At 38.1% G+C, this 20,137-nt stretch overlaps 1 protein-coding gene across 8 annotated transcripts in view; it reads right to left on the minus strand.

Annotated features, from left to right (window-relative positions):
- The window catches only part of DCTN4 (dynactin subunit 4), a 50,578-nt gene that overhangs the window by 27,397 nt on the left and 3,044 nt on the right, over positions 1 to 20,137 (minus strand). For 6 of the 8 annotated variants that reach the window (NM_016221.4, NM_001135643.2, XM_011537644.2 and 3 more), the window contains 2 exons: positions 17,643 to 17,821; positions 6,278 to 6,321 (listed from right to left, as the gene is read on the minus strand). In NM_016221.4, the coding sequence (NP_057305.1) occupies positions 6,278 to 6,321; positions 17,643 to 17,821 (223 nt within the window). Of the gene's footprint in view, positions 1 to 6,277; positions 6,322 to 17,642; positions 17,822 to 19,694; positions 19,719 to 20,137 lie in introns of those variants that run through there. The other 2 variants (XM_047417262.1, XM_047417263.1) reach the window with 2 other exon arrangements.

The following is a 20,137-nucleotide window of genomic DNA, read 5'->3' on the forward strand; positions in this document are numbered from 1 at the left end:
AGAAGGCCAACTATTAAGCTACTCAAAAAGCTACTCAAAGGGGCACCAGAGAAAGGTGAAAACCAACTTAAGGGAATTAAAAAAAAAAAAAAAAATACAGGTTATGGACAAAAAAAATCTCCAGAGAAAGACAGCATAAATAATAAACAATCACAATTTTTGAAATGACAGACACACTTAGACAAGGCTTTTGAATTAACCCAATCTGACAAATACAAAGAAAAAAGAATAATAACAATAATAATAAAAAATAAAGCCTCTAAGAAGTCTGGGATTATATTAAGCTACCAAAACTAAGAATTGGTGTTCCCAAGGAAGAAGAGAAATCTAAAGGTTTGGAAAACTTACTTGAGGAAAGAATAGAAGAAAACTTCCCTGGCCTTGCTAGAGATCTAGACATCCAAATACAAGAAGCTCAAAGAACACCTGAGAAATTCATCGCAAAAAGATCACCACCTAGGCACACAGTCATCAGGTTATCTAAAGTCAAGACAAAGGAAAGAATCTTAAGAGTTATGAGGCAAAAACATCAGATAACCTATAAAGGAAAACCTATCAGGTTAACAGCAGATTTCTTGGCGAAACCCTACAAGCTAGAAGGGACTGGGGTCCTATCTTTAGCCTCCTTAAACAAAACAATTATCAACCAAGAATTCTGTATCCAGCGAAACTAAGCTTTGTAAATGAATGAAGGATAAAGTCTTTTTCAGACACACAAATGCTGAGAGAATTTGTCAGTACCAAGCCAGCACTACAAGAGGTGCTCAAAGGAGTTCTAAATCCTGAAACAAAACCTTGAAACACACCAAAATATAACCTCCTTAAAGCATAAGTCTCACAGGGCCTATAAAACAATAACACAATGAAAAAAAAAATCTAAGTATTCAGGCAACAACTAGCACAATGAATAGAATAGTACCTCACATCTCAATACTAATGTTAAATGTAAATGGCCTAAATGCTCCACTTAAAAAATACAGAATTACAGAATGGATAACAATTTACCAACCAAGTATCTGCCGTCTTCAAGAGACTCACCTAACACCTAAGGACTCACATAAACTTATGGTAAAGGGGTAAAAAAAGATATTCCATGCAAATGGACACCAAAAGTGAGCAGGAGTAGCTATTCTTATATCAGACAAAACAGACTTTAAAGCAACAACAGTTAAAAAAGACAAAGTGGGACATTATATAATGATAAAAGGACTAGTCCAACAGGAAATATCACAATCCTAAATATATATGCACCTAACACTGGAGCTCCAAAATTTATAAAACAATTACTACTACGCCTAAGAAATGAGATACAAAGCAACACAAAAATAGTGGGGGACTTCAACGCTCCACCAACAGCACTAGACAGGTCATCAAGATAGATGGTCAACAAAGAAACAATGGACTTACACTATACCCTAGAACAAATGGACTTAACAGATATTTACAGATCATTCTACCCAACAACTGCAGAAGATACATTCTATTCATTAGCACATAGAATATTCTCTAAGATAGAACATACGAGAGGCCACAAAACACGTCTCAATACATTTAAGAAAACTGAAATTATATGAAGTACTCGCTCAGACAGCAGTGGAATAAAATGGAAAATCACCTCCAAAAGGAACTCTTGAAACGATGCAAATTGCATGGAAATTAAATAATCTCCTTCTGAATGATCACTGGGTCAACAATGAAATCAGGATGGAAATTTAAAAACTCTCTGATCTGCATGATAATAGTGAGACACAACCTATCAAAAGCTCTGGGATACAGCAAAAGCAGTGCTAAGAAGAAAGTTCATAGCATTAAATACCTACATCAAAAAGTCTAAAAGAGTACAGGAGACAATCTAGGGTCATACCTTAAAGAACCAGAGAAACAAGAACAAACCAAACCCAAACCTAGCAGAAGAAAAGAAATAACAAAGATGAGAGCAGAACTAAATGAAACTGAAACAAAAGAGACAATAAAAAAGATAAATGAAACGAAAAGCTGGCTCTTTGAAAAGATAAACCAAATTGATAGAATGTGAGATTAACCAAGAAAAGATGAGAGAAGATCCAAATAAGCTCAATTAGAAATGAAATGGGAGATATTACAACTGATACCACAGAAACAGAAAAGATCATTCAGGGCTACCATGAACACCTTTATGCACACAAACTGGAAAACCTAGAGGAGATGGATAAATTCCTGGAAATATACAACCCTCCTAGATTAAACCAGGAAGAAATAGGAACTCTGAACAGACCAGTAACAAGCAGTGAGATTGAAATGGTAATTAAAAAAAACTGTCCACAAAAAAAAAGCCTAGGACCAGATGGATTCACAGCTGATTTCTATCAGACATTCAAAGAATAATTTTTATGAATCCTACTGAAACTATTCCAAAAGATAAAGAGGGAATCCTCCCTAAATCATTCTATGAATCCAGCATCGCCCTTATACCGAAACCAGGAAGGGACACAACAAAACAAGAAAACTACAGACAGATATCCCTGATGAACATGGATGCAAAAATCCTTAACGAAATACTAGTTAACTGGATCCAACAGCATATCATAAAGATAATACACCATGATCAAGTGGGTTTAATACCAGGGATGCAGGGATGGTTTGAAATACCCAAGTCAATAAATGTAATACACCACATAAACAGAATTAAAAACAAAAATCACAGGATCATCTCAATAGACAGAGAAATAGCATTTGACAAAATCCAGCATCCTTTATGAGCAAAACCCTCAGCAAAATCAGCATAGAAGGAACATGCCTTAAGTAAAAGCCATCTACGACAAACACAGAGCCAACATTATACTGAACAGGGAAAAGTTGAAAACATTCCAGCTGAGAACTGGAACAAGACAAGGATGCCCACTTTTACCACTTCTATTCAACACAGTACTGGAAGTCTTAGCCAGAGCAATCAGACAAGGAAAGAAATAAAGGGCATCCAAATCAGTAAAGAGGAAGTCAAACTGTTGCTGTTTGCCAATGATATGATCGTATGCCTAGAAAACCCTAGAGACTTATCCAAAAAGCTCCTAGATCTGATCAATGAATTCAATAAAAGGTTGGGCACAGTGGCTCATGCCTGTAACCCGAACACTTTGGGAGGCCGAGGTGGACAGATCACTTGAGGTCAGGAGCTCGAGACCAGCCTGGCCAACATGGTAAAACCCCATCTGCACTAAAAATATGCGTGGTAGCGGGCGCCTGTAATCCCAGCTACTCAGGAGGCTGAGGTAAGAGAATCGCTGGAACTTGAGAGGCAGAAGTTGCAGTGAGCTGAGTTTGCACCATTGCACTCCAGTCTGGCTGACAGAGAGAGATTTCATCTCAAAAAAAAAAAAAAAAGTTTTGAATTCAGTAAAGTTTCAGGATATGAAATCAATGTACAGAAATCAGTAGCACTGCTATACACCAACAGTGACCAAGCTGAGAATAAAATCAAGAACTCAACCCTGTTTACAACAGCCGCAAAAACCCCACCCAAAAAACAAAAACAAAATGCTTAGGAATATACCTAGCCAAGGAGGTGAAAGACCTCTACAAGAAAAACTACAAAACACTGTTGAAAGAAATCACAGATAACACAAACAAATGGAAACATATCCCATGCTCATGGCTGGGTAGAATAAATACTGTGAAAATGACCATACTGCCAAAGCAATCTGCAAATTCAATGCAATTCCCACCAAAATACCATCATCATTCTTCACAGAACTAGTAAAAACAATCCTAAAATTCACATGGAACCAAAAAAGAGCCTACATAGCCAAAGCAAGACTAAGCAAAAAGAACAACTCTGGAGGCATCACATTACTTGACTTCAAACTATATATAAGACTATAGTCACCAACGCAGCATAATACTGGTATAAAAATAGGCACACAGATCAATGAAACAGAATAGAGAACCCAGAAATAAACCAAATACTTATAGCCAACTGATCTTTGACAAAGCAAACAAAAACATAAACTGGGGAAAGGACATCCTATTCAATAAATGGTGCTGGGATAATTGGCAACCTAAATGTAGAAGAATGAAACTGGATCCTCATCTCTCACCTTATACAAAAATCAACTCAAGATGTATCAAAGACTTAAATCTAAGACCTGAAACCATAAAAATTCTAGAAGATAACATGAGAAAAATCCTTCTAGACATTGGCTTAGGCAAAGACTTCATTACCAAGAACCCAAAAGCAAATGCAACAAAAACAAAAATAAATGGAACTTAAACTAAAAAGCTTCTGCACAGCAAATGAAATAATCAGCAGACTAAAAAGACAGCCCATAGAGTGGGAGAAAATCTTTGCAAACTATGCATCCAACAAAGGACTAATATCTCAAGTCTACAAGACACTCAAACAAATCAGCAAGAAAAAAAACAAATAATCCCATTAAAAAGTAGGCAGAGGACATGAATAGACATTTCTCAAAGATACACAAATGGCCAACAAACATATTTAAAAAAATGGTCAACATCACTAATGATCAAGGAAATGAAGATCTAAACCACTCCTGCAAGAATGGCCTTAATTAAAAAAAAAAAAGTAATAGATGCTGGCATGGATCTGGTGAAAAGGGGACACTTTTACACTGTTGGTGAGAATGTAAACTAGTACACCACTATGGAAAACAGTATGGAGATTCCTTAAAGAACTAAAAGTAGATCTACCGTTTGATCCAATAATCCTACTACTGGGTATCTACTCAAGAGGAAAAGAAGTCATTACATGAAAAAGACACTTGCCTGCACGTTTATAGCAGCACAATTCACAGCCGCAAAAATAGGAAACCGGTCCAAATGCCCATCAATCAATGAGTGGATAAAGAATATGTGGTATGTATACACCATGGAATACTACTCAGCCATAAAAACTAGTGAAATAATAGCATTTGCAGCAACCTGGATAGTGTTGGAGACCATTATTCTAAGTGAAGTAACTCAGGAATGGAAAACCAAACATCATACATTCTCACTCATAAGAGGGAGCTAAGCTATGAGGATGCAAAGGCATAAGAATGATACAATGGACTTTGCGGACTCAGGGGGAAAGCTGGGAAGGGGGTGAGGATAAAATACTACACATTAGGTACAGTGTACACTGCTCAGGTGATAGGTACACCAAAATCTCAGAAATCACCACTGAATAATTTATCCATGTAAGCAAACACCAGGTGTTCCCCAAAAACCTATTTTTTTTTCTTTTAAATGGCTGAGGTGGGAGGATTGCTTAAGCCTGGGAGGTTGAGGCTGCAGTGAGCTGTGATCATGCAACTGCATGCCAGCCTGGGTGACAGAGTGAGATCCTGTCTCAAAAAAAAAAAAAAAAAAAAAGTTCAAACACTATACACATGAAAAGAATAAAAAGCAAAACTTCTCTTTTATCCCTTCTGCCCAAGTTGACTTTTCTACTCATTAGAGGTATCAACTATTACTGGTTTAGATATCTTTCTTACTCAGAGAAACAAATATATTATATTTTGCATATATTTTAAAATACTTGTGTGTAGATGTATAGCTTTGATGTGTATAAAAATACATACTTATTCCTGGCCTCAAGCAATCCTCCTGCCTTAGCTTCCTGAGTAATGGGGATTACAGGCATGAGCCACTGCGTTTGTCTCTACCGCATTCTTTTTCTTTTTTTGAGACACAGCCTTGCTCTATTGCCTAGGATGGAGCGTGGTGGTATGATCATAGCTCAATGCAGACTCGAAAACCTAGGCTAAAGCAATCCTCCCACCTCAGCCTCCTGAGTTGCTGGGACTATAGGCATGCGCCACCACACTCAGCTGAATTTTTAATTTTTTTGTAGAGATGGGGTTTCACTGTATTGCCCAGGCTGGTCTTGAACTTCTGGGCTCAAGCAATCCTCCTGCCTCAGCCTCCCAAAGTATTGGGATTACAGGCATGAGCCACCACACCTGGCTGTTTATGATATTTCTAAGAGTATCTGAGAACAAATGGAACCTTAACTCACTGGTGGGTTGTGTGAAGAAAAAACAAAAACTTGGTTCCTTTTCCTGATGCACAATTCAAATACAGAACTAAAGCTACACCTAGGATTCTCCATTATCTTAAGTCATTTGGAAAAAAGTGACAGTGTATTTCAATGTCTTACAATGAGAAGCACTGTCTATGTGCAAAGACGTATTATGGACTTATAAACACAGCTCATATCTACCCATAAAATGCAAGATCTTCAGTCTTTTACTCAATTTTTTCCGATTTCATCCTCTCTCTCTTATGACCCTTTACTTACCCGTTGTGTGTGAGGATTTTCAGGTTCCTGCCAACCGCCACTAGCTACAAAATAAAAGAATATTAAACAAGACTTTCATAATGTGATAATTTTATTTTCATAAAACAAGTCTTCTGTAGGCCATAAAAAGAAACTTAAAACATAAGTTATATAGACCATTCTGGTCTATATAACTATAGACTATAATGTTCAGAACAAAATTTTAAGAAAACATCTAATGATGGTGATAACAATCACCAATGCACAGCCACTGTGCCAGGCACTTGAAATGTATTACATTTCCTTTTATTCTCATAACAACCCTCTGAGGTAAGGACTCTTATTAGTCTCATTTTATATATGAGGAAACTGAGGCTCAGAGATGTTAAATAACTTGCTCAAAGTCACACGGAGAGTAAGTGGTAAAGCCAGGATTCAAACTCAGTCTGACTCCGGAGACTTTGCTCTTATCTGTAACACTGTGCATTTTCTAAGTTCTATGACCTTGGCTTAGAGAAGAATTTCTTACGTAAGAAGCACACAGCATAAATCACAAAGGAAAAGATTATTCAAGAAAACTGAAAGTACTGAAAGTAAAACTATAATGAACACTTTTAACAAATGGTGCTGCAACAATGGAATATCCACACATCAAAAACAAAACAAAAACCTCAAAAACCAAAAACCAAAAGGACCCTTACTTCAACAACATTTACAAAATTTACCTTGAAAAGAGCAAGACTTAGGAGGAGCCAAGATGGCCGAATAGGAACAGCTCCGGTCTACAGCTCCCAGCGTGACCGACGCAGAAGACGGGTGATTTCTGCATTTCCATCTGAGGTACTGGGTTCATCTCACTAGGGAGTGCCAGACAGTGGGTGCAGGACAGTGGGTGCAGCGCACCGTGCGCCAGCCGAAGCAGGGCAAGGCATTGCCTCACTTGGGAAGCGCAAGGGATCAGGGAGTTCCCTTTCCTGGTCAAGGAAAGGGGTGACAGACGGCACCTGGAAAATCGGGCCACTCCCACCCGAATACTGCGCTTTTCCAACAGGCTTAGGAAACGGCGCACCAGGAGATTATATCCTGCACCTGGCTCGGAGGGTCCTACGCCCACGGAGTCTCACTGATTGCTAGCACAGCAGTCTGAGATAAAACTGCAAGGTGGCAGTGAGGCTGGGGGAGGGGCGCCTGCCATTGCCCAGGCTTGCTTAGGTAAAAAAAAGCAGCCACAGCTCAAGGAGGCCTGCCTGCCTCTGTAGGCTCCACCTCTCGGGGCAGGGCACAGACAAACAAAAAGACAGCAGTAACCTCTGCAGACTTAAATGTCCCTGTCTGACAGCTTTGAGCAGAGCAGTGGTTCTCCCAGCACGCAGCTGGAGATCTGAGAACGGGCAGACTGCCTCCTCAAGTGGGTCCCTGACCTCTGACCCCCGAGCAGCCTAACTGGGAGGCACCCTCCAGTAGGGGCAGACTGACACCTCACACGGCCGGGTACTCCTCTGAGACAAAACTTCCAGAGGAACGATCAGACAGCAGCATTCGCGATTCACGAAAATCTGTGGTTCTGCAGACACCACTGCTGATACCCAGGCAAACGGGGACTGAAGTGGACCTCTAGCAAACTCCAACAGACCTGCAGCTGAGGGTCCTGTCTGTTAGAAGGAAAACTAACAAACAGAAAGGACATCCACATCTGTACATCACCATCATCAAAGACCAAAAGTAGATAAAATCACAAAGATGGGGAAAAAACAGAGCAGAAAAACTGGAAACTCTAAAAAGCAGAGCACCTCTCCTCCTCCAAAGGAAAGCAGCTCCTCACCAGCAACGGAACAAAGCTGGATGGAGAATGACTTTGACGAGTTGAGAGAAGAAGGCTTCAGACAATCAAACTACTCCGAGCTACAGGAGGAAATTCGAACCAAAGGCAAAGAAGTTGAAAACTTCGAAAAAAATTTAGACGAATGTATAACTAGAATAACCAATACAGAGAAGTGCTTAAAGGAGCTGATGGAGCTGAAAGCCAAGGCTCGAGAACTACATGAAGAATGCAGAAGCCTCAGGAGTCGATGCGATCAACTGGAAGAAAGGGTATCAGTGACGGAAGATGAAATGAATGAAATGAAGCGAGAAGGGAAGTTTAGAGAAAAAAGAATAAAAAGAAACGAACAAAGCCTCCAAGAAATATGGGACTATGTGAAAAGACCAAATCTACGTCTGATTGGTGTACCTGAAAGTGATGGGGAGAATGGAACCAAGTTGGAAAACACTCTGCAGGATATTATCCAGGAGAACTTCCCCAATCTAGCAAGGCAGGCCAACATTCAGATTCAGGAAATACAGAGAATGCCACAAAGATACTCCTCAAGAAGAGCAACTCCAAGACACATAATTGTCAGATTCACCAAAGTTGAAATGAAAGAAAAAACTTAAAGGGCAGCCAGAGAGAAAGGTCAGGTTACCCACAAAGGGAAGCCCATCAGACTAACAGCGGATCTCTCAGCAGAAACTCTACAAGCCAGAAGAGAGTGGGGGCCAATATTCAACATTCTTAAAGACAAGAATTTTCAACCCAGAATTTCATATCCAGCCAAACTAAGCTTCATAAGTGAAGGAGAAATAAAATACTTTACAGACAAGCAAATGATGAGAGATTTTGTCGCCACCAGGCCTGCCCTAAAAGAGCTCCTGAAAGAAGCACTAAACATGGAAAGGCACAACCGGTACCAGCCGCTGCAAAATCATGCCAAAATGTAAAGACCATCGAGACTAGGAAGAAACTGCATCAACTAACGAGCAAAATAACCAGCTAACATCATCATGACAGGATCAAATTCACACACAACAATATTAACTTTAAATGTTAATGGACTAAATGCTCCAATTAAAAGACACAGACTGGCAAATTGGATAAAGAGTCAAGACCCATCAGTGTGCTGTATTCAGGAAACCCATCTCACATGCAGAGACACACACAGGCTCAAAATAAAAGGATGGAGGAAGATCTACCAAGCAAATGGAAAACAAAAAAAGGCAGGGGTTGCAATCCTAGTCTCTGATAAAACAGACTTTAAACCAACAAGGATCAAAAGAGACAAAGAAGGCCATTACATAATGGTAAAGGGATCAATTCAACAAGAAGCGCTAACTATCCTAAATATATATGCACCCAATACAGGAGCACCCAGATTCATAAAGCAAGTCCTGAGTGACCTACAAAGAGACTTAGACTCCCACACAATAATAATGGGAGACTTTAACACCCCACTGTCAACATTAGACAGATCAACGAGACAGAAAGTTAACAAGGATACCCAGGAATTGAACTCAGCTCTGCACCAACCAGACCTTATAGACATCTACAGAACTCTCCACCCCAAATCAACAGAATATACATTTTTTTCAGCACCACACCACACCCATTCCAAAACTGACCACATAGTTGGAAGTAAAGCTCTCCTCAGCAAATGTAAAATAACAGAAATTATAACAAAGCGTCTCTCAGACCACAGTGCAATCAAACTAGAACTCAGGATTAAGAAACTCACTCAAAACCGTTCAACTACATGGAAACTGAACAACCTGCTCCTGAATGACTGCTGGGTATATAACAAAATGAAGGCAGAAATAAAGATGTTCTTTGAAACCAACGAGAACAAAGACACAACATACCAGAATCTCTGGGACACATTCAAAGCAGTGTGTAGAGGGAAATTTATAGCACTAAATGCCCACAAGAGAAACCAGGAAAGATCCAAAATTGACACCCTAACATCACAATTAAAAGAACTAGAAAAGCAAGAGCAAACACATTCAAAAGCTAGCAAAAGGCAAGAAATAACTAAAATCAGAGCAGAACTGAAGGAAATAGAGACACAAAAAACCCTTCAAAAAATTAATGAATCCAGGAGCTGGTTTTTTGAAAGGATCAACAAAATTGATAGACCGCTAGCAAGACTAATAAAGAAAAAAAGAGAGAAGAATCAAATAGATGCAATAAAAAATGATAAAGGGGATATCACCACCGATCCCACAGAAATACAAACTACCATCAGAGAATACTACAAACACCTCTATGCAAATAAACTAGAAAATCTAGAAGAAATGGATAAATTCCTCGACATATATACTCTCCCAAGACTAAACCAGCAAGAAGTTGAATCTCTGAATAGACCAATAACAGGCTCTGAAATTGAGGCAATAATAGCTTACCAATCAAAAAAAGTCCAGGACCAGATGGAATCATAGCCAAATTCTACCAGACGTACAAGGAGGAACTGGTACCATTCCTTCTGAAACTATTCCAATCAATAGAAAAAGAGGGAATCCTCCCTAACTCATTTTATGAGGCCAGCATCATCCTGATACCAAAGCTGGGCAGAGACACAACCAAAAAAGAGAATTTTAGACCAATATCCTTGATGAACATTGATGCAAAAATCCTCAATAAAATACTGGCAAACCGAATGCAGCAGCACATCAAAAAGCTTATCCAACATGATCAAGTGGGCTTCATCCCTGGGATGCAAGGCTGGTTCAACATACGCAAATCAATAAATGTAACCCAGCATATAAACAGAGCCAAAGACAAAAACCACATGATTATCTCAATAGATGCAGAAAAGGCCTTTGACAAAATTCAACAGCCCTTCATGCTAAAAACTCTCAATAAATTCGGTATTGATGGGACGTATCTCAAAATAATAACAGCTATCTATCACAAACCCACAGCCAATATCATACTGAATGGGCAAAAACTGGAAGCAATCCCTTTGAAAACTGGCACAAGACAGGGATGCCCTCTCTCACCACTCCTATTCAACATAGTGTTGGGAGTTCTGGCCAGGGCAATCAGGCAGGAGAAGGAAATAAAGGGTATTCAATTAGGAAAAGAGGAAGTCAAATTGTCCCTGTTTGCAGATGACATGATTGTATATCTAGAAAACCCCATCGTCTCAGCCCAAAATCTCCTTAAGCTGATAAGCAACTTCAGCAAAGTCTCGGGATACAAAATCAATGTACAAAAATCACAAGCATTCTTATACACCAATAACAGACAAACAGAGAGCCAAATCATGAGTGAACTCCCATTCACAATTGCTTCAAAGAGAATAAAATACTTAGGAATCCAACTTACAAGGGACGTGAAGGACCTCTTCGAGGAGAACTACAAACCACTGCTCAAGGAAATAAAAGAGGATACAAACAAATGGAAGAACATTCCATGCTCATGGGTAGGAAGAATCAATATCAAGAAAATGGCCATACTGCCCAAGGTAATTGATAGATTCAATGCCATCCCCATCAAGCTACCAATGACTTTCTTCACAGAATTGGAAAAAACTACTTTAAAGTTCATATGGAACTAAAAAAGAGCCCGCATTGCCAAGTCAATCCTAAGCCAAAAGAACAAAGCTGGAGGCATCACACTAACTGACTTCAAACTATACTACAAGGCTACAGTAACCAAAACAGCATGGTACTGGTACCAAAACAGAGATGTAGATCAATGGAACAGAACAGAGCCCTCAGAAATAATGCCGCATATCTACAACTATCTGATCTTTGACGAACCTGAGAAAAACAAGCAATGGGGAAAGGATTCCCTATTTAATAAATGGTGCTGGGAAAACTGGCTAGCCATATGTAGAAAGCTGAAACTGGATCCCTTCCTTACACCTTATACAAAAATTAATTCAAGATGGATTAAAGACTTAAATGTTAGACCTAAAACCATAAAAACCCTAGAAGAAAACCTAGGCATTACCATTCAGGACATAGGCATGGGCAAGGACTTCATGTCTAAAACACCAAAAGCAATGGCAACAAAAGCCAAAATTGACAAATGGGATCTAATTAAACTAAAGAGCTTCTGCACAGCAAAAGAAACTACCATCAGAGTGAACAGGCAACCTACAAAATGGGAGAAAATTTTCGCAACCTACTCATCTGACAAAGGGCTAAGATCCAGAATCTACAATGAACTCAAACAAATTTACAAGAAAAAAACAACCTCATCAAAAAGTGGGCAAAGGATATCAACAGACACTTCTCAAAAGAAGACATTTATGCAGCCAAAAGACACATGAAAAAATGCTCATCATCACTGGCCATCAGAGAAATGCAAATCAAAACCACAATGAGATACCATCTCACACCAGTTAGAATGGCAATCATTAAAAAGTCAGGAAACAACAGGTGCTGGAGAGGATGTGGAGAAATAGGAACACTTTTACACTGTTGGTGGGACTGTAAACTAGTTCAACCGTTGTGGAAGTCAGTGTGGCGATTCCTCAGGGATCTAGAACTAGAAATACTATTTGACCCAGCCATCCCATTACTGGGTATATACCCAAAGAACTATAAATCATGCTGCTATAAAGACACATGCACACATATGTTTATTGCGGCACTATTCACAATAGCAAAGACTTGGAACCAACCCAAATGTCCAACAATGATAGACTGGATTAAGAAAATGTGGCACATATACACCATGGAATACTATGCAGCCACAAAAAATGATGAGTTCATGTCCTTTGTAGGGACATGGATGATATTGGAAATCATCATTCTCAGTAAACTATCACAAGGACAAAAAACCAAACACCGCATGTTCTCACTCATAGATGGGAATTGAACAATGAGAACACATGGACACAGGAAGGGGAACATCACACTCTGGGGACTGTTGTGGGGTGGGGGGAGGGGGGAGGGATAGCATTAGGAGATATACCTAATGCTAAATGACGAGTTAATGGGTGCAGCACACCAGCATGGCACATGTATACATATGTAACTAACCTGCACATTGTGCACATGTACCCTAAAACTTAAAGTATAATAATAAGAAAAAAAAAGAAAAAAAGAAAAGAGCAAGACTTAAATGTAAGTGTTAAAACTACAGCACTTCTAGAAGAAAACATGGGTAGATCTTAGTGACACTGGGTTAGGCTAAAGTTTTTTTAATAGGACACAAAAAACACAAACTATAAAATAAAAAAATTGGTAAATTAGACTTCACTGAAATTAGAAACTTGAGTTCTTCAACACACACTGCTGAGAAAAGGAAAAGGCAAGGCACAGACTGGGAGTAAATATTTGCAAAACATATATTCAACAATGGACTTGTATCCAGAATATAGAACTCTTATAACTCAGTTTAAAAAACCAAATCAAAACAAACCAACAACAACAAAACCCAGTTAAAAAGTAGGGAAAAGATTTGTACAGACAGTTCACCAAAGATATATGGCTGGTAAACAAACACAATGAGAAAATGCAAATTAAAACCACAGTGAAGTACTGCTGTACATGTGCTAGAATGGCTAAAATGGGTAAGACTGACAATATGGCAAGGGTTGTCAAGGGATTGGAACTCTCCTAATTTGCTGGGGAGGATCCAAAATTGTTCAGTCACTTTGGAAAACAGTTGGGCATTGGCCAGGTGCAGTGGTTCATGCTTTTAATCCCAGCACTTTGGGAGGCTGAGGCAGGAGAACTGCTAGAGTCCAGGAGTTGGAGACCAGCCTGGGTAACATGGAGAAACCCCATCTCTACTTTAAAAAATAAAAAAAAATAAAAATAGTTTGGCAGCTTCTAGACAAATTAAACATACACTTATCCTATGACCTAATAATTTCACTCTTTGGCACTTAAGAAAAATGAAAACATATATTCACACAAAGAGTTATAGGCAAATGTTCATAGCACCTTTATTCACATAAGCCAAAACCCAAAAACAATCCAAATGTTCAAGTGGAGAATGAATAAACAAACATGTTCATACAACAGAATACTACTCAACAATAAGAAGAAATAATATAAAGAAGAAACACAGATGAACCTCAATAGCATTATGCTAAATAAAAGAAGACAGACAGGAAAGACTGTAATGTAAGACTCCAATTACATACACTTCTAGAAAAGGCAAAATTCTAGTGATAGAAAGCATATCAGTCTAGTCAGGGGCCGGGAGGTTGGGGGAAGAAACTGACTGCAATGGGGCATGAGGATTCTCTAGGGGGACAGAAATGTTGTGTATCATGATTATGGTGGTGGCTATGTGATTACACACTTGTCAAACATCACAGAATTCTACACTTAAAATTGGTAAGCTTTATTATATATAAATTATATATTGGTAAAGCTAGCCAAATAAAGGGAAAAATAAAAGTATAATGAGATACCATTTCACAACCATCAGTCTGGAAAAATTTTAGAGTCCAAAAGTACTAAGAGCTGACAAGGAACTGGAGCTACAGGTAGTTTACTCTTACATATTACTACTAGGAGCAAAGACTGCTAAATCATTTTGGAGTGCTAAGGATGTACACAACTTATGACTGGCAATTTTACTTCTAGTTATATAGAAAAGTCCTTACACTTGTGCCTTAGGAAACACATACAAGATTGCTTCCAGCAGCTATATTTTTTCAAAAGCAAAGAAAATGAAAACAACCTAAATGTTCATTAAGAGAAGACGGAATAAGTAAACTGTGGTGAGTCATACAGGAATCAACTGTGTATCAGAAACATAATGCTGATAGAGTAAAGTTGTAGCAGGATATATACAGTATGTTTTCATTTGCTTAAAAGTGAAAAATGTTATTTGTTTGTGGCTGCATACATATGTGGAGAAGTATAAAGACATGTATGGATGCTAATAAACACTGAATTCAGGATTGTGATTATTATCTCTAGCGGGCAGAGAGGAAGATAAAGTAGGGGGAGGGCTTAAACTGTTTTGGCTGTTTCATTTCTTAAACTGGGTGATAAGTACATGAATATACATATTTCATATAAAATCACTTTTTTCAAAACAAAAAGGACGCAATTACCTTGCTGAAGGTGACATTGTATCCTCTTGCAAGAAATGGCAGAAATAACACTTTAGTATAATATTATTTTAGAAGTTGCCTCACTTAAGGCAATCATGAAAAATAATTATGTGAAAGAAATGTTTCAGCTGTAATATTTTTAAACGTCTGAATATTTTATCTAATTGCTTCTTTTGAACTGGTAATTTATTCTAAGTAGCAATTTGGGAGACATAATAATCTCATTGTAAGTTTTTCTCCGTACATTACAGACAAGTACTTATAAATAAACAAATAGTTCTAACTTAAGTGGTTTCAGGGCTTCTGAGATACCAATGACATCAAGGAGGAAATGAAATTATCTGTACGCTTTAAGAGCTCCTGGTATTCAATTATCCCTGTTGAGATACCCTAGAGGAGATACAGTTCTAGAAGCCAGCATAAGTTTATAGTTCTGAAATATAAATTCTCCAATCTTCATGACTCATAAACCAAAAAGCATAAAACACTCACTAACAGAGTAACAAACTGAGAAATCTACTTGGATTTCCGGGCTGTTTCTTTTACTTGATAAAAAGACACAAAATACAAACATGAAAAAACAATACTTTAGTTCACTGAGGCCTACATTATGCCACTTTGAGGTTGCTTTTTAACATTTAACTTACTTTCTTTAACTTATCTCCTATACTGACACTAAAACATATACACATAAATACTTACTGGCAATTTTCAAAGATGTTACAGAATCTTTCTATTTTCAGTCACACTTCAGGTAAATAGCTACCCACCAATGAGCATTTTTAAGGAACTAAGATATACTTATTTAACTTTCTGTTTTTGAAAAGAGTATGTATTTTATCAACTCAATGTACAAAGTCAGAAAAACCATCAACAGCTCAAAGCATTCTAAACCAAAGAGCAAATTCAATAGAATCAAGGATTAAATTTTTAAGAACATAGTTGAATCTAAAGAACTTCACCCATATTTACTTCCAAATTGTGTAAGAATCTATAGAAAGGTTTTAGCCAGTCTGCTTCATTTTAGTTATGTCAAATGACATATAATGAATTTGTTATGAGCTTCCTCATTTATTAGTCAATAAGCTGTACTTTTTATGAAAATCCCAAAATGAGAATTTTTACAAGTTTAAAATGTTTTTAGAAAATTAAACAATGAAACCTCAGAAAAAAAAATACGGAGTTAGTGATGCTACTACTTATATAAAGCATAAATAGCAACTCAAGATTTTATTAATTTTTTTTAAACTTTGGATCACTTAAATCAAAAGCAACTCAAGATTTTGAACTGACTGTACAGAGAATGTTTCCACTCTATGATGTTAACCATGAAATACAGAATTTGCAAAAATAAAGTTTCGTGATAAAATTAAGTGTAATCTGTTCTAAAACACTCAAACACTCAAATGATGGAGGTATATAATGCCTTAGGTGGTCTTAAATCCAAACATACCAATTTTTCTCTTTCACTGATAAACATTTTATATATATACGTAAAAGTTTTTGAGCACATGTTTGAATGCTCCAGGACAGACATTTGGACATTGAATTACTGGGCAGAAGGATATAAGCAATTTAAAATTTTAATAAATGTTTTAAAATTGGTCTCCAAGATAGACTACCATAGTGTATGAGAGAACTATTCTCCTATGTTCTAGCCAACACTTGATACAACCAGATTAAACATGTTGTACCAAATAGAAGGAAGCTTTAATTTGCATTTACATGACTACTAGGGAAGTCGAATACATCTTTTTGCATATTCATTGACCATTTTTATTTCTACTATGAGAATTGCTGCTCATATCCTTTGCCTGTTTTTCTACTAAGTCTTTTTCTTATTGACTTATAAGCGTTCCTCATTTCTGAGTATTCATCTTTAGCCTGTTATATAAGACCCAACTATTTTTCTTAGTTTGTCATTTTTATCTTTAAAGATTTTTTTTTTTTTTGAGACAGAGTCTTGCTCTGTCACCCAGGCTGGAGTGCAGAGGCCCGATCTCGGCTCACCGCAAGCTCTGCCTCCCAGGTTCACGCCATTCTCCTGCCTCAGCCTCCCGAGTAGCTGGGACTACAGGTGCCCCCACCACGCCCAGCTAATTTTTGTATTTTTTAGTAGAGACGGGGTTTCACTGTGTTAGCCAGGATGGTCTCGATCTCCTGACCTTGTGATCTGCCCGCCTCAACCTCCCAAAGTGCTGGGATTACAGGCGTGAGCCACCGTGCCCGGCCTTATCTTTTAGTTTTATCCATGATGTCTTAACATGAATGTTTATTTTTCATGAAGAGCATTAATATTTTGATTCCAAGAAAGTACCAGATTTATAAAAGCTATTTTATCAAGTCTAAGAAAACTAAATATTATCCCATCTCAGATAAAACACTAAGGTCTACAAATGTGAACATATGGGAACACAGAAGAGTTAATGACAAAATATTCTGAATTTAGCTCCTATCGCCCCAACGGGTTACAGAAATAATAATCTATGGGCAATTATAGCACTGTCAATTGTACAAAATTTCATATTGAAGTCCATCTCACTCACCTACAGATTTGTCTGCCATGCCCACATCTCTAGACGTCCAGCGACAAAATCCACATGCCAGGTAATAGGCTTTCTTCATGGTGGTCTTGGCTGGGTCATCTGGAAGCTGTGTGGAGATGCTCGTGGCCCGAGTAGAGAGGGTGTGCATGCAGCCAGGACAGTCAAAACAATTGGCACATCTGTGACATGACAAACACAACCATTCATTCAACAAATATTTATCAAGGAATTCAAGAGAGAACAAATATAAGGACAAGTGTCTCTCAAGAAAAAACAGTAACATTCTGCAGGCCTCTTACCAACTTTGCTTTAACAGTTCAAGAGTACTATATGTTCATTAGTTTAAAAAATATGCAGTTATCGCCAAAGTAAGAATTAGAGCCCAACCCAATCCTACTCCACAGAGAGAACCATTGTTAACAGATGGAGTTTATGATTCCAGACTCTTTTTATGCTTATATTGATCACAAAGATTTCTGAGGAAGAGAACTGTCACAGCTTATGCCTTTAGAGAGGACAGACCAACTGTGCCATAGAAAACTTAGAGTCAACAATACAAGAAGCTGTGAAACTGGATTTGGAAAATAACCGACTGCTGTGCCAGAGAGCTTCAACAGAAAGCAAACAATGCTATCAAACTGGAATGGTTCAGAAGCAGCATATTTTCAGGGCTTTCTGTTCTCTCCTTAAATGCTACTTTTCCTAGTGCTCAGCCAACATTTCTCCTTTAGGAGGTCCCTATGTCTTCTTGCTTTTAACTCTCCCACCAGCACAGATTATCAAGATTTCACCTGCAGTCCTGTACCTGCTTGAAGTTCTGTTCTATAATATAACTTGCATTATCTGTTATAGTCTGCCATCTGGATACTATCAAAAGAAGATAATAATAGTACTCACCTTACAAGGAAGCTTTGAGGATTAAATGATAAAAATTAATTTGTGGAAAGTATACAAAACAGTATCTGGTTATCAGGGGTTACTTCTCAGGGCAGGAAAGACAAATAATAGTGGTTCACATCCATAAAGGTATGGGGGTATGACTAACAGCAAAAGGACTTTCACTTCAAGCTAAAAACTAAACACCATCCAGTAGCAATGAGCAAGCCTAGCAGCCATATCTTGGTTTCTAAGACTATTCTCCAATAAAGTGAACCAAGGCTCCTTGGAGAAACAACTCTAAGACTGAGACAGAAAATATACAAGATGAGGCTGGGCACAGCAGCTCACGCTTGTAATCCCAGCACTTTGGGCCAAGGCAGGTGAAGTGCTTGAGCCAGGAGTTCAAGACCAGCCTGGGCAACATGGCAAAAGCCTATCTCTCCAAAAAAATACAAAAATTATCCAGGTGTGGTAGCATGTGCCTAGTCTCAGCTACTCAGGAGGCTGAGGTGGAAGGACTGCTTGAGCCTGGGAGGTTGAGGTTGCAGTGAGCCAAGATTGCACCACTGCACTTCAACCTAGGCGCCAAAGTGAGACCCTGTCTCAAAAAAAAAAAAATACACACAAAACATACACACAAGATGAGTCTGGAGTATCTTGTAGTACTGGTAAGAAAATGATCAAAGTAATGAACAGAGAACTCTCTCCTGCTCCTAATGATGGGGGTATGTCAAAGGGATCTAGGAGTCAACTGAAAGAGCTCCCAATGGCCAAAGCTGAAATAATTTGAGCAAAATAAATAAAGTAGTATTGGATTACAAGCCAAAATATAAAATGAATATTCATAATCCCACTGTCCTATAAGTAAGTGATTTAAAAAACAAATAAACAAGAGGAGAAGAGACAGATCTTCCATGCAAAAGAATTCCAAATCCAAATAATTTATGCAGATAGTCCTCAAGGACAGGGGAGCATAATTCTCTAGTCTTTATGGGCTGTGACAGTAATTTTCCTTCCAAAAAGTAGAGTACAAAAAAAGAAGGAAAAGCAGTAACTTTACAGTGGAGAAACCTGACAAACACTAGCTCAAGCCAGATAATCAAGGTTAACACCAACAGTGACAAGTCATAAGTATTTACCCTTGATATGATGTAATCAAAGATGGCACTTTACCTCTGTGGTTCTCCTCCGCAAAATACATTCCCCTAGTCTGATGAGAAAAAAACATCATGCAAATCCTAATGAAATGACATTCTATAAAATACCTCACCAGTACTCCTCAATACTTTTGAGGTCATCAAAACCAAGGAAATTTTAAGATTCTCCTATCACACCACACCCAAGAGGAGTCTAGAGACATAACTATAAATATAATGTGATATCCTGAAAAGAATCCTGGAAAAAAAGGAGACCACAGAAAAACTAAGGAAATCTGAATAAAATGTAGTGTATTGGTTCATTAATTGTAACAAATATACCACACTAATGTAAAAAGTTAACAATAGGGGAGACTGGATGTGAGGTAAATGGGAACTCTCCATACTATCTTCACCATAATTCTGAAGTACAAAACTGTTCTAAAGTAGAAAATCTATTTCAAAAATCAAAGGGGATTT

Source organism: Homo sapiens, chromosome 5, assembly GCF_000001405.40.
Source record: "Homo sapiens chromosome 5, GRCh38.p14 Primary Assembly".
Taxonomy (NCBI): Eukaryota; Metazoa; Chordata; class Mammalia; order Primates; family Hominidae; genus Homo; species Homo sapiens.